General features: G+C 42.5%; 1 protein-coding gene across 3 annotated transcripts in view, besides 1 other annotated feature; it reads left to right on the top strand.

The window, feature by feature from the left end:
- The window catches only part of CDYL2 (chromodomain Y like 2), a 207,131-nt gene that overhangs the window by 55,894 nt on the left and 135,227 nt on the right, over positions 1–16,010 (top strand). Inside the window, exon 1 of one of the 3 annotated variants that reach the window (XM_011522867.3) lies at positions 12,467–13,152. The exons of the other annotated variants lie outside the window; for them this stretch is intronic. Within the exon in view, the coding sequence (XP_011521169.1) occupies positions 13,138–13,152 (15 nt within the window). The 5' untranslated portion in view covers positions 12,467–13,137. Of the gene's footprint in view, positions 1–12,466; positions 13,153–16,010 lie in introns of those variants that run through there. 3 annotated transcript variants of the gene reach the window in all.
- Positions 9,318–9,477: a silencer, noted in NCBI's record as "silent region_7743". NCBI's record gives its function as "represses an Ori minimal core promoter by ATAC-STARR-seq in GM12878 lymphoblastoid cells {active_cell/tissue: GM12878}" and the evidence as "EXISTENCE:reporter gene assay evidence [ECO:0000049][PMID:35858748]".

Genomic DNA, 16,010 nt, shown 5'->3' with positions numbered 1-16,010 from the left:
CACAACAATCTCCCATAATCATTCCCCACTCTTAATATTTTGGTCAAGTTTCTTTAGCTCTGTTTTGCTATATATATTTTATTTAGGTACAGTTAGAACCACAGTGTATATCCAGTTTACAGCTTAAGCTTTAACCTTATATTTTGACTGTATTTTTCTATCCTCAATGTTCTCGATGGTAATATTCAACCATGTACAGAAAGAATGTAAAATTAGCCCCTTCTATGACTTTTCTTTTTTTGATGGATTGATTTATATCAGGGTGAGCTAATTTGGTATCCATGCCCAAACTGGGTCCCTTTGACCTCTCATGACAGAACTGGGAATAAGAAGAATGAGAGACAAGGGCAGCTCAAGGACAGGGATCAACTGTTAAGTTGGGGGTAGAGATGAGGATGAGGTTGTTGTTGGTGGTGGTTGTGGTGTTGGGCCAGATGGTGGGTGAGGGGTGCTGGTAATAATGCATTGGGTTGTTTTTCTAATAGTTATCTTGTTTATTCTTCACAAGAATTCTTCAGAAATATTTCTTATTAACCCTGTCTTCCATTTGTGCAAACCAAGGCTCTGAGTGTTGAGTGAATAGCTCTACATCACCCACCTGAGTTTTTTTTTTTTTTTTTTTTTTTTTTTTTTTTTTAATGGAGTTTTGCTCTGTCGCCCAGGCTGGAGGGCAGTGGCGCGATCCGCCTCCCAGGTTCACGCCATTCTCCTGCCTCAGCCTCCCAAGTAGCTGGTACTACAGGCGCCTGCCACCAAGCCTGGCTAATATTTTTATATTTTTAGTAGAGATGGGGTTTCACCGTGTTAGTCAGGATGGTCTCGACCTGCTGACCTCGTGATCTGCCTGTCTCGGCCTCCCAAAGTGCTGGGATTACAGGCGTGAGCCAGCGCGCCCGGTCCACCCACCTGAGTTTTAAAGGCAGAGCCAGGGCACAGACCTACACCTCTGGCCCCAAGCCTATGCTCTTTTCTTTATATTATTATTATTATTATTATTATTATTATTATTATTATTATTATTTAATCTTCCCAGAATCACCTGTGAGTGTGAACTGGCTCCATGGCTGAACTGGTGTTCTCTGTGTGTAACATTCTGGTCACTGGGGTGGAGGCTGGAGTCACAGAGTTCACTGTGCCCTGCTTTTGAAGAGCTCATGGTTTAGTGGAGAAAATGAACAAATATAGAATGGATTCAAGAATCCTGCCTGAGAATTCAGGAAAGGTTTTGTGGTACTGGTGTCTAATGAGTCTTCAGATGTGAATAAGGGCTTCCAGGTGGGCAGAGGTAGGAAGGGTTCCAATCAGAAGGACCAGAGGAAGCCATAAATAGGTGTGTGCAGGAAATGGAGATGAGACTTGGCAGGGTGTATGTGGCTGCAAGGCAAAGAAACTAGGGCACTTACTCAGTGGTTCTAGAGGGGTCTGTGAAGATAGCTTTTGGTTGTGGCTGTGACTCTTTTGTCTGGTACTTGCTTCTCTGGCCTCAGAAGTTGGGAAGGGGACGAAGCTCAATCCTGATGCTAGAAGGGACACTCCAGAGGGGAAGCTGCCACCCCATTCCCACCAGCTACTATTCACCACCACTACCACTATTCACGACAACATTGGTAACAACAATCCCTGGCATTTATTAAGCACGTAATAGGCCCAGGCCTTGTGTCTAGATTTATTAAGCACGTGATAGGTCCCGGCCTTGTGTCTAGTCCTTTGCATGCGATATCTTCTTAAATCCTTCCCCTAACCCTATGAGGTATAGGTATTTTTATTCTCCTTTTAATAATGAGAATTCTGAGGCTTGGAGAGGTTAAATACCTACCCCAGGCCTCCCTCCCGAGAAACTGCCAGGCTGGGATTTGAACCCAGACTCTTCAGATGCTAGATGCTGAGATCCTCACTATGGGGTGGTTCATGCAAATAAGGAACATCGACAGGTGGTGGGCCTTTCCCTAATTTTCTTGAAATTTTGTTTTGTTTTATTTTGGCCTTTCTATCTTTTGTTTTATTTTGTTTTGCTGATTTTCTTTTGAGTACAGAGAGAGATTTCTATGCCGTAAGAAAACTGACAGCACACAGATGATGATAAATGGCAGCCAACCCTCAGCTCTGGGGACACAACAGGGAGTACTGGGGATTGTGGCAAACCCAGGAGAGGTAGTGGCTTTTGAAATCCAGCCAGTTGTTACCATATTGGAATATAGTCCTAGGGCTGCTGATTTGCAGTTCTATTAATTTTTTTTTAAAGAGAAGAGAAGCTGGGAATCTGGACTTTAAGTGAAGTCTGCAAGTTGTTAAAGTCTGCTCAGTTTTTTAAGCAAGCTCAGCCAACAATAATGGGTTATGATAAAAGCACAGTGTCCTAGTGAGTGGTCTCTATGTTGTGCCATATTGCTGGAGAACCTCCTGCAGCCTCACTGGTGTCCCTCCCCCTGCCCCACACCCTCACACCTGCAAAAGGGGGCCTTCTAAGCTACCTGGTAGTGTTCTTTCCTGGATTGTCTAGTTGTTAAGGGAAGATCCCGCCTGGGCTGTCTGAGCCAGGAATTATTCCCAGTCTGTCTTGGGCACTTGGCTTCCTTTGCCCTACATTCTTGGGGTTACTTTTCCTGTCTTCAGTACTGATTTAGAACAGTCAGAAGATTCCAGAATACTTGAGAGGATGCAAGGAAAATTGCTCAGAATTCACACTTTAGAAATCTGGCTGTAAGAAGAGAACAAGAGGTCACTACTGGAGTCGGTGCCAAATGGAACATTTCGAGCTTGTCTAAAGAAGCCTTTTTCTTCCCACAGCACAATTCACTACTGAATTCATAGCGCTTGGGATTATAAAGTCAGATCTCCCTGGGTCAGCAGGATAGGATAATTTGGTATCAATTTATTATGTTCTCAGCCTGTGCTTTTGCTCAGACAGAGTTGGATTTTAGTCCCCCATCATTTGCGGATTGTCATGGGAATGGGGAGTAATTGCCCTTATTTTCACGCAGGTACAGCCCAGCATTTTGTGCAGGTACCTGTTGGAGCCCAGGGGAGAAGGAAGGTCTCGGGAACAGAGCTAGTCTTCTGAGGTTTGCTTCCTTTCCATCCACTCTTTACATTCCAAGGACCTGTGTGTGGATAATACAGAGACAAGTGCGAGCTTTACCTTCTGCCTGCAGCAGCCTTGCTGATTGATAGCAGGAGGGGGTATCCTGACAGTCACAGGGCTGTGTAGTTGGGTCGCGGCCACGTGTTACTTCTTGTGGGTGAACCAGTGGTGTCACTGGTACCCCCTGCCCTTCCCTGTCTTCTGGGTCAAGAGGGACAACATAAGTGGAAGGTCGCTGGAGAAACCCTTCCAAGCTGTCCTGGTCATAGGGAGGATTGAATTGACTCCAAATTTCTCCAGAGGCATCACAGAGCAATGCTATCATTGTGGTATTTTGCTACCAAAAGCTAAATCTAGGGCAGAAATCACCTCTTGCTCCAGGTTGATAACTTGCGCACTGTCATCTCTTTGTGGTAGTAGTAATAACAACAATAATTATAACAGCTGACGTTTACTCACTGTGTTCCTACAGTACACAGCCATCATTTGAAGTGTTTTAATCCTCACACCAACTCCATGAAGGGGGTACTGTTTTTATATTCTTTTTAGGGATGAGGAATTGAAGGCACAGAAAGGTCTGGTGGCTTTCTCAAGGCCACACAGCTAGTAAGTGTCAGGCTGGGATTATGTACTGCGGGCACTCTTGATTCCAGTCTACTGGACTGCTTGTTGCTGTGGGTATTTGAGTATTTATGTGTTTCTTTTGGCTCCTGTTTGCATGGTCACTGGCTGTCATAGGGAATGGTGATCGGCTTTTCCAGTTGCTCAGGTGACACAGAAGAGGTTGGCTGGTGTCATGGACAGCACATGGGATTTGGAGTTAGAAGGTCTCAGTTAAAAACCCTCAGGCCCCTGCATTCTAGCTGGGGGACCCTCGGGCAGTTTGCTTGAACCTCTCACCTTGATTGGTTTGTTGAACTTGCAGGGTGCTAGCAGCACCTGCCCCCAGCGTGGGGGAGTGGTTTTGCAGATTAAAGTGTTGTGAATGCACTTCCTCGATGGAGGGCCTCTAGCACCATGGTTTCGTCATCCTGTATCTGTCACTCACCCTGTAGGTCAGGGGTTTTTCACATTTGTGGCATCAGAGAGACCCTTAGGTTTCTGTTTACAGAGGCATCCCAGGCCTAGGGGAGACAGGTGGCTCAGTGGCACTGGTTCCTACTGCTAGGCTTGCAGAGCTCACTGCAGGAGGACTGTGGGTGGGGATCCAGGACTGTCCACTTCCTTCTCCTGGGGGACATGCTGCCAGCTGTCACAGAGATAACATTACCGTTCTGTTCCTCTGTCAACTGGAAGAGAGCTTGACCAGAAAATTCCTTTGCTGTGTTGACCCATGCCACTAAAACCTTAGTTTGGTGGAGACCCCTATATGGCCTTTGACTGTAGGTCTTACAGAGCTGGAATATTACCTATCACATGGGCAAGTTGCTTAACCTCCTAGAGCCTCAGTTTCTTCACCTGTATTTTGAAGACAATGACATTTTCTTGTAAGGTTGTTGGGAGGATTAAATAAAATGATGGAAATAAAGTACCTTCTATAGGGTGCTCCTACATGCTAATTTCTTTTTTTCCTTCTTTTGGTCATCACCTTGTTGCTTTCTCAGGTCAGGAGGTCTGAACAGGGCTTCCTGCAGAAAGGATATCTTCATGGTGTCAGTGTAAAGCTGGTGTTAAAGGATGCAATGTGTGAAGGGGAAAGAAATCTCTGCTTTCCAGAGCTGTGCTATGGTTAATAGAGTTGCTTAGGGAATGGGGAGGTGAAAATAAAGGCAAAGAGGAGCAGGCCTAGGGAGCAGGATGTCAGCAGTACACATGTGCTAACCAGACCCAGCGTGTGTTCCCCAGGGCTCCTGCCTTTTCTGCGTCTCTGGACTTAGAATCACACTGATCTGATCTCAGTCTTTTGCTGCTTCTGTGTAGCTTTGATGAGTTGCTCTAACTTCTCTGTGCTTCAGTTTCTTTATTTTCCAAACAGGAATAATGATACCTAATTCCTGGGGGTTTTGAACATATTAAATGGGTGAATAAATGAATGAATGAGTATCAGGTGTCTATATGACTCACTCCAGTAGGGAGGTTCCCTTTTCCCTTTGCAGAAGCAGCAGAAGAGGCAGGAGGAATAGTACAGTCCCACCACCACCGCAACCACTAAGTGATCTCTTTACCACTTACTGGGTGCCAAGCCTGTGTTCAGGCACTTTATCAGCACCATTTCTTCTGGGGAGACCAGGATGTTGCTTTCAGTTCTTACTTATCTTCATCCTTAATTGATTTTGAAGGGGTTAAATTAAAAAAAATACTAAAACAATTTGAACTGATATATATTATAGAAAATCTTGATGGACTGAGATGAAAGGGGCAAAAAAACCCCCAAAAAACAAACAAACAAACAAACAAAAAACAGAGAAAATAATCTTACTTGCATTAAGATGACAACAAATTAAGATAGAGCTCACAATGTCTGGGGTTTCTGGGGGCTAATGCCAATCCCGCTTCACTGGGATGTAGGTGAGACCTGTGGCTACACAAGTTTTAAGAAACATCTCTCCTGACCCATTCATACACCCCAGTTCCAGGTTGAAGTGCTGCTACTTCTGTTAGAGCTGATGAATCACTGCAGACAGCTGTGGGGCTTTTTGTCTGTGGTTCCTTGAGATTTAGACTGCAAATAAAGACTTTCACACTTTGTGACTTCTTTTGAATTCTCTCTATTTTATAAAACGAAGAGATTTTAAGAACTTAAGAAGATAACACTTTCTGGTTTGAGGGCTCCCTCACAATGTCTGCGCTTACCATTTAAGGTTTTACTTCTGGGAGCAGAAGTATTGGGTTTTGCTGTGTAATTGTTTCCTGTTTTATTGAGGGCTTAACATGGAACCTGGAGGTTTGCCTACCATGAAGTTGATGTTCAATACATGTAAGTGGAAACAAAAATGACGACATGCTACCAAAGGAAGGTTTTGTGATTTAGACCATCAATGAGTCCGTCCGTCGGTCCATCCCTCCATACAGCCATCCACCCACCTACCCACCCACCCACCCTCTTACCCATCCATACATTTATTCATCTTTGTACTCACCTATCGATTCATCCACCCATTCATCTACCCATCCACCTATCTGTCCTTCATTTATTCATCCATCCATCCATCCATCCATCCATTCTTTTTCCATCCTTCACCCATCTACCCACTCACCCATTCATATATCCACTCATTTATCCACTCAACCACCCAGTCTTTCATTTTACATCTGTCTATTTGTCAGTCCATCCATCTGCCCATCTATCCATCAATCCATCTATCCATCCACCCACTCACTCACCCACCTACCCTGTCACCCATCCATACATCTCTTCATCCATGCACTCACCTACCCATTCATCCACCCTTTCTACCCATCCACCTATCTATCCTCCATCCATCCATCCATCCATTCATCCATTCATTCTCCATCCATCCTCCACCTATCTACCCACTCACCCATTTATATATCCACTCATTCATCCCAACCCACCTACTCTTTCATTCATCCATCTATTCATTCGTTAGTGTATCCATCTATTCATCCATCCATCCATCCATCCATCCATCCATCCATGCATCCATCCTCCATCCATCCTCCACCCTTCTACCCACTCAACCATTTATATATCCACTCGTTCATCCCCTAACCCACCCACTGTTTTATTCATCCATCCATCCATTTGTCAGTCCATCCATCCATCCCATCCATCCATTAATTCTGTCAAGTGAATATTCTGGAATGTGTTTAATCAATCCTTGTTGTTGGACATTAGGTAGTGTTAAAGTGTTTCCTGTTGATGTTGATGCTTCTTTAGTGACATCTTAGTGGTTAAGAGTCTGGGCTAGGTAGGCACACTGCCTGGGTTTGCATTCTGACCCCACCTCGTATTGTGTGACCTTGGATGATTCTTGATCTCTGTATATCTCAGTTTTCTCATCTGTAAAAGTAGAGATTACATTAGGATCTGTTTCTTATTTTTTAAAGGGTTAAAATACACAATCCATTTGAAGCATAGAACTGTGCCTAGTAAGTGCACATGGTTCCCATAACGTGGTGATGTTGAAACCTTGCACATTGTTCTGGTTATTTCCTTAGGCTGTTTTCTGAAAGTGGAATTACTAACCAAAACATGTAACTCTTTCAAAGGTTTTTCATGGGCGTTGCCAAATTGTCCTTCAGGAATGTTGTAAATTAGTCCAACATTAACAGCTCCCCCGTATGAGAATGCCCATTTTACCTGAACATCTGCCAATGCTGGGCGATTATTTAATTTTTGCCAATTTTGTGAAAATTGCCAATTCATTTTTTTCAATACTTTTATTACTGGTGAATTTAAATATCTTTTATTTGTTTACTGGTGAATTTAAATATCTGTTGTTTGTTTAAATATCTTTTGTTTTATTTATTTTATTTAGATATCATCTATTACCCTCACACACTTCTTTTTCGTGACCTTTTCCATTAATATGTTCATCTGTTTCTTAGATCATAGAATTCATTTCAGTATTAAAAATAACTTTACCACCTATGCTGCAAATATTTTCCCCATAATGTTTTTTTAAAACCTAGATTATGACACTTTTTGATATATGAAAATTTAAAATGTTTAATAAAAGCTTTTATGTTTTTCTGTAAGCCTAGACCTTGTCTGTCTCTAAATCACAAGTGTGTGTGTGCATTTTTTTTTTACATTTAATTCTTGAGGTAAATTGGATTCATGTTGGTTAATGATATAAGGTAGGCATTTTATAATTTCCCTTTACTTAACCAGTTGTCCCAATCCCACTTTATTGAATCTAGAATCTAAAATACCATTTTATTATATATAAAATTCTTATACACACATCTTATATAGTACATGTTATATATATATTATGTATATATATGTTTCTGGGCTTTTTATGCAATTTGGTTTTTTGTCTATGCTTACTTACTACCTTATTGTAGCTTTATTTTTTAATAATTGGCAGTAGAAGTCTTGAATTCTTTTTTTGTTTGTTTGTTTCAGAAATTTCTGGGCTATTCCTGTTTGTTATTTACTTAAAATAAACTTGTCAAGTTTAAAAAATCCAGATGGGGTTTTGATTGAAATTGCTTTAAGTTGAAAAAATTAACATGTTTATAGTAATGAAACTTCCCATCCACAAATATAGAAGTGTCTCTATTTGGTAAAACCTCTTTTTTTTTTTTTAGTGTATCACAGTTAAGTTTTGTGGATTGCTTCATTTAATCCTGCACATTTCTCATTAAATATATTTCTAAGCATTTTCTATTTTCGTTGCCTTTATAAATAGACTTTTTTTCTACTATATTTTCTCACTGGTTATTACTGATTGTTGATTAGATCTGTATTTGGGAACTACACATCTTTCTGAATATTTAAATTCATTCTAAAGTATTTCAGTTCATTCACTTGGGCTGTGAAGATATATGACTGTGTATGCAAATAATATTTTAGAGATTCTTTTGTATAGATCACTTCTCATTTTTATTTCCTGCCTTATTGCATTGGCTAGAAGTTCTAAACTGATATTAAAAATAATGGTTTTGAATGTCAGGCTTGAATTTTTAATGCTGAAATTTTGTGTACTACAGAACTTGGATGGGTGGGTGGTCATAGTTGTACTTTTGAATTAGGCCTTTTAAATGGTTCTCAAATACATATGTCTGTTCATATGTCTGGCTGTTTCTATACTCACTTCACAACCTCCTCCACCGTAGAAGTGAAAATAAAGAATGAGAATATATCTCAGTAGGATCATGGGCTACATGATGGAAGTTTTAGTGGGGAAAACAAGTGGCAAGTTTCATCCACTCTGGTTTTTGGTGCATCTTCCTGGACGTGCTCATTCCACAGAGCAAGGTTAGCAAGGAACACTGAACTGACAAACTTGTCCATGTGGTTGTCAATCCTGCCCGATTTAGTCAGCCTCTTTTTCTGAGTTAGAGACCTGTAAGTAGCTTTTCTGTCTTCTGTAATTTCTCTCTGCACCCGTCCCCTCCTCTGGCACCCACCACCCTCCACAGCCACATGGGGAAGACCCTAGCAAAGACAGTGACATTGCCCCCAAGTCGTTTCATCCTGGGCATCAATGTACGTGACTCAGCTTTGTGCTCCACAGACTTGGGCTGCTTTGTTGGTATAGCCCAGATCAGCATTTCAGGTAATTGGGCTGTAATTGGCCTGCCGTGGACAGCAGGTCCCCAGTGTGAGGCTTCTGTTTTTGGGGAGTTTCCCTGATTGGCAGGGAGTAAGGCAGTGACCTCTCTGTCTCTCTGAGAGCAGCGCTTCTATGACTCATTCTGGCTCCCACCTCCCACACCTGAGCTCTGAGCTGGTGCGTCTTGTTCCATGGGCTGGTGTGGGTGGCGGTGTGGATGGCAGAGCAGGATGCCAGCACACTCCTGGGAGGCAGTGCTAGGGTCTCTCTGGTGTGCTGGGTGCTATCCTGGGACTGCTGGTGCCCGGCTGCTGTGTGAATCTGCCCCGCTGGGGCTTAGCTCCTGATCTTTTGTCCTATGACACCTCCAAATTTCTCCCTCCTTCCCACTGACATTTCTTTCTTTAGCTCTTGCATCTCCCCATTCTATTCTTTTTTAGATTGTGATAAAATACATATAACATAAAATTTACCATCTTAACCATTTTTAAGTGTGCATTTCCGAGGTATTAAGTACATTTACATTGATGTGCAGTAATCACCACTGTCCACCCACAGAACTCTTTTCATCTTGCAAAACTGAATCTCTGTCCCCATTAAACACTAATCCCACATTCTCCCCTTCTCCCCCAGTCCTTGGTAACCACGATTCCACTTTCTGTCTCTATGAAATAAAATACTCTAGGGACCTCAGATAAGTGGAATCATACAGTCTTTTCATGACTGGCTTATTTCATTCAGCGTGACGTCCTCAGCGTTCATCCATATTGAAGTATATGTCAGAATTTACTTCCCTTTAAAGGCTGACTATACTCCATTGTGTGTGTATACCACGTTTTGTTTATCCATTCATCCATTGATGGAAAATCGGGTTGCTTCCACCTTTTTCACCTTGTGAAATACTCCTCTGATCTTTTACAGCTGAAGACAATAGTGGTCAAAGCATGTAGCGCTTTTTTTACAAAGTTGTTCCTATGAATTTTCACAAGAATTAGAAATTTGCCACTATCATCATCTCCATTTTATAGATGAGGAAACTGAAGCTTGGCGAAGTTAAATAATTTGCCCAAAGTTACCTTTAAAAAATAGCTTAACTGAGATATGTTCACATACCATATGACTCACCAATTGAAAGTGTACAAGTCAGTGATTTTTAGTGTATTTACAGAGTTGTGCAACATCACCACAGTTAATTGTAGCATATTTTTATCACCTGAAAAAGAAACGGTATACCCTTTAGTTATCACCCGCCTATTCTTGTGTCCCCACCTTAGCCCTGGCAACTGCAAATCTGCTTTCTATCCCTATGGATTTGCCTATTCTGGAATTTCATATGAATAGACTGGCACAATGTATAGTCTCTTGTGTCTGGCTTTTTTCACTTAGCATAATATTTTCTAATTCTCCTAGTTGTAGCATGTAGCATTAGTACTCATTTCTTTTTGTTTCCTAAAATTCCTTTTTTTAAAAAAAAAATAGACATGGGATTACTGGGTATATACCCAAGGAATTATAAATCATTCTACCATAAAGACAGATGCGCATGTATGTTTATTGCAGCACTATTCAAAATAGTAAAGACTTGTAACCAACCCGAATGCCCACCAGTGATAGACTGGATAAAGAAAATGTGGCACATATACACCATGGAATACTATGCAGCCATAAAAAAGGATGGGTTCATGTCCTTTGCAGGGACATGGATGAAGCTGGAAACCATCATTCTCAGCAAACTAACACAGAAACAGAAAACCAAACACTGCATGTTCTCACTCATAGTGGGAGTTGAACAGTGAGAACACATGGACACAGGGAGGGGAACATCACACATGGGGCCTGTCGGGGGGCTGGGGGCTAGGGGAGGGATAGCTTTAGGAGAAATGCCCAATGTAGATGACAGGTTGATGGGTGCAGCAAACCACCATGGCACATGTATACCTATGTAACAAACCTGCACGTTCTGCACATGTAACCCAGAACTTAAAGTATAAAACAACAACAACAACAACAACCAGTCCCTAAATGCATTAGAAAAAAGAATCTCTCCCATGAGGCTGGGCATTCTTTAGAGAAATGGTTCTCAAAGTGTGGTTCCCAGACCTGGGGACTTGGAAATGCAGATTCTCAGCCTTACCCCAGACCTACTGAATCGGAAACTCTGGATGTGCAGCCCAGCCATCTGTGTCTTAACAAAGCCTTCACCTGATCCTGATGCACACCAAAGTTTGAGAACCAGTGCTTTGGAGAAACTTGCCAAGAAAGAGACAAAGAGAAAACCACCACCACTAGCAGCAGCAGCAACAGCAGCAACAACAGTCCAGGCAACAGCTGGTATGAAGAGCCATGCTCACGGTACCTAGAGCAAGGTACAGTTTAATACAGTGGCTGAAGAGCTCACGCTCTGCAATTCTCACAGCCCTGGGTTTGAACCCCAGCTTTGGTACTTGCTGGCTGCCACTTCCCTTAACCCCTGAATCTGCAAAATAGGGATAATGATTCCTCCCTTTTAAGGTTGTTCCAAGGACTCGGTGAGACCTTACCTGTAAGGCACTTAGCACAGAGCAGCACATTAAGTAAAAGCCACTATACCAGAAAGGAAACTCAAGCAAATCCATCCTCTGCAAAAGTGTTAACATCTCTGTGAGTTCAACATCCTGTGGAACAGCAGTCTACATGGGGTACTTACACACTGGTAGGTACAAGCAGACTTGGTCTGGGGGCATGGATAGATTTGTGAGGCTCAATTTCAAGATCCTCAGTTTTCCTACAGGCTGTCCTGAAACTGATCTGCCTGCAAAGGGGGCATGAAGCAAATTCTCTTTCCTTGTCTTCTCTTTCCACAGGAGCCCTTCTCCCACGTAACAAAAGAAAGGCAGAGTCTCAGCCATCCCAAATCTGAATACGATGCATCATGTAATATAAATTTCCAGGGCTCCAACAGAGGATAAATGGAAATACTGAGGTTGTGAACAATGATTAGATAATAAATCCATGTGCAAGTGAACAGTTCAAATGACTGGGTAACAAGTCCTTATCCAAGTCAAGTGGTTCGTACATAATTGAAGGAAGCCCTAATTGGGCTGTAAGTTGATAGATCATTAAAAATAATTTTTGATGATTAAAAAAATAGAGATGACGTCTCACTATGTTGGCCAGTCTCATCTTGAACTCCTAGACTCAAGTGATCCTCCCACTTTGGCCTCCTAAAGTGCTGGGGTGACAGGTGTGAGCCACTATACCCAGCCTTATTTTCTGAGATTACTTTTTGAACTCAGACATCTGAGTCCACAGTCCCAGTGTTCAGCCACATTGCTGTCCTGTCTCCTCCTTCAAACATTGTATACAAGTTCATGTTTACCTGTTGATATCTTCCCAGCTTCCCCTCATATTCAAGAGACTGGGGGTTCAGCTTTGTACCTCTCTTGCTCACTGTCATGTTGCACATAAGGGCTTCGTAAATTAAAAATTAGTAACTTGAAAATAAGTGCTTAGTCTGTTGAATGCTGTGTGTTGGACAGTGTTGCAAACTAAACTCACGCAAGGAGTCACTTGTGTTAGTATTCTGTGCATGATGGTTACGTATCGTGTTTTGCCGTTAGAAACGAGAACAGACAAATGAGAACATGTTCGTTAAAGGGCTCTGAAACAGTGTGAATTATAAATGTATTGATGGTGGGGATGTGTCACCATTTGCAGTTAGGTTCAGGAGCTGATGAACAACCCACGAGATGGAGGTTTGCACACAGTGGCCTTGGGCCTGTGGCCAGCTGTGACAGCTGGGAGTTCCACAGTCTCAAGGTCACTGGCCTATGTCATAAAAGGCTGGTTACTGAGGACAAGCTGGGAAGGTGACCCTTAGTCCAGCGGATGGAGCCACCTGGGGTGAGGAGTAATTACTTGCTTGAGGCCCCTGAGCTACTAAGTGCAGACCCGAGTCTCTGTGATTCCTAAGTGCCTGCCTTGCCCTGCTCTCTCTAGCCTTGGATGTGGACAGGCTGTGTTGGAGGCTGGTTAGGGACCAAAACATTCTCTGAAAGTAGGAGCTGTTTGCAGCTCCCTGACTGCAGGTTTCTTTTGAAGAGGCAATGCAAATGGAAGGGGTGGTCTGAAAGCAGTGCCATGGCTTCAGAGTACTCTGTCGAGAGTCCAGTGATTATTGCTATGTGGTCCCTGAGAAAAAAAGGTCTATGCACAAAACTTCCCGGAGCTTTTCTAGAATAGACACCAGAGCTCTAGTTGGAGCCTGGGGGCCATTCCCTGGGGGTCTGGGCTGCCTCTGAGAATTCCCTCCCTTCCCTCTAGCCAGATCACTGGAGCCTTATAGTATCAAACATGGGGATGGTATTAATCACTCACATTCAGTGAGTGCCCATTCAGTGCCAGGCACGTAACTAAGTGCTTTGCATCATTTAGCTCATTAATTTTTGACAATGTCGTGGTTATTATTAACTTCATTTTACAGATGAGGAAACTGATGCATAGAGAAGGGGAAAACTTGTAAAACTCTTTAAGGATGTCACTCAGACTGTACTTTATTTTTCTCAGAAAAAAATTTAATTTATGTAAAGACTCATTGTAACATGGAGTAGAGACAATATGAATTTTCTTTGTGGCTTACTGGCAAATACAGTAGCTTGGGCATGATCTATTCTTGGTTGCCATGTTTCTCACTTTTGTGGTTCATCTCACTTTGTTTATCTAATTGGAATCTCTTTTTCTGCCATTATTTTGTGTTCTTCTGAGAAGTTCTCACCCTTGAGGGTGGACAGAGGTAAGCAAGAGGCATGGCTGGGAGAAACAACTAAGTATCAAGGAAGAAGTTAAGGTTGGGAGATAAATGTGGCTTTTGTGATGATTTGACGCAGGGCACCTTCATGGAATTGATGAAGGAAACAGAGGAGGAAACTCAGTGCTCAGGGATCACTGGGAAGCCTTTGAATGGAGGGGCATCAACAGCATCATAGCCTGGGAGGACCAAGGATTGTCAGTCATTGGACCATATCGTGGTGGCAGGTCCATTATGACTTCTAGCTTTAAATTGAAAACACCGTAGCAGCAGGTTACAAAATTAGGAACCAGTTCTAGAGGGAATGTGTAATAGTATGTGGCAGTGATCCATTCAACACCTGCATTTCCTAGAATGCATTCCTAAGCTTAAGCAGGTATATCTGTGCTCCCAGGGCCCAACATGGTGTCTTTCACATAGTGGGTGCTTATGCAGTAAACCCCCTTGAATGAGTAAGTTCAAGCCCCATGCCTTTAATTGTCAAATAGGCTGACTCCCTAGGAGAAAGGCTTCTCCTTAGCTGCCTTCCCAAACCTGCTTCCCTATTCTGAGTTTCTCTCCAGTTGCTTTCCACCTAGATGTCCTCTAATTACAGCTACTCTAGATCCACACCATGTCTGGTTTCCAAATCTTCCATCACCCTCAATGCATTAGTCTTTAGTGTTGTTGTCCTCATGGCTCATGGATCTGTCTTAACTATCTCAACCTCGTGCCTATGGAAAGTGTTCCTCAAAAACTTCATGGTACAGACACAAAGATGATTATGACCCCGAAGTCCTACTCCATGTAGCGTGGCTACCATGGTTCTAACTTGAAATCTCCTTGCCTTTCCCCGGCCCCCAACCAGGAATATGCAACAAGATTTATATATTGGCCAAATAAAGTCTCTGGGTAACTCTATTGAAATACGGAGCTTTGCATGATGGGATTCCCTAATATAGTCCATCAGAAGATAACTGATATGAGATGCCCATCCAAGTATCTAAAGGAAGTATGGGGTCTTGGTATTACTAAATTCCTTGACTGTAACTTTTTATAGATTTTCTAATCTGTTACCTTAATTCCTGGCAATGATTAGTTAGCAAAGCCAGTTTCCCATTCAGAATAATTTCTGAAAGGCCTTGTGGGTCTTGCCATGAGGAGTAGACTTAATCCTGTTGGGGAGTCATTGCAGAGTTTTAAGAGGGCAAAAAGACAATACAATTTATATTTTAGAAAGCTCATCCTGGCTTCTGAGTGGAGATGAGATTGGAGGAAGGAGATTGAAGGCAGAAAATGAGTTGGGAGCCATTGCAATAGTTCTGGTTAAAGGCAATCACTGGGTCTGTGATCTGTTAGAAGAGCTTCTTCTAACATCCTGACAGTTGCATCACTGCATTACTTTATCTTTAGAGCACCTATGGGCAGCTTCCTTTGTGGTGACAACTGCTTTACTTGAGTTTATTGAGAAAGCACTTGCGAAGAGGCACATCCAAGATACTTCATTTCCTCTTGCTCAGGCATTTCTCCATCTTGGCATAGTGATGATGTCCCCAGGGCAAGGGGACTTAAAAACTGCAGCTTCCTACTGCGTATAAAGAGAGGACACAGATGTCTTCAAGGAAGCCTCCATAAACCTGTCCAGGGAACCTTGGAGAATGTCCAGAATTTTCAACATTTTTGGAATGTTAGTATAGGGCAAAGCCGTTGCAAGCCCAAATGGCAAGATGAAACTATTCACAGTGCTTCTACAAGATATATAAAATGATTTCCAACTCATTCCATCCCTGACCGCTCCCCAGCCTGCTGCAACTATGGCCCCTTTGAGATTCTTGGGGTTACTTGAAATGCACACAGTGGAGATTCTGCAGTAATATTTAAGAGCTTTTTTTGACCACTGATTTTGTGAATCCAACTTCTTTGTCTCCTCCTAACTCTATACTTCTCCCAGGGAACTGCCTCAACCTTGCCCACA

Source organism: Homo sapiens, chromosome 16 (assembly GCF_000001405.40).
Source record: "Homo sapiens chromosome 16, GRCh38.p14 Primary Assembly".
Classification (NCBI taxonomy): domain Eukaryota; kingdom Metazoa; phylum Chordata; class Mammalia; order Primates; family Hominidae; genus Homo; species Homo sapiens.
Note: the sequence above shows the minus strand (reverse complement) of the source record. Positions and strands in the feature narration are given on the sequence as shown.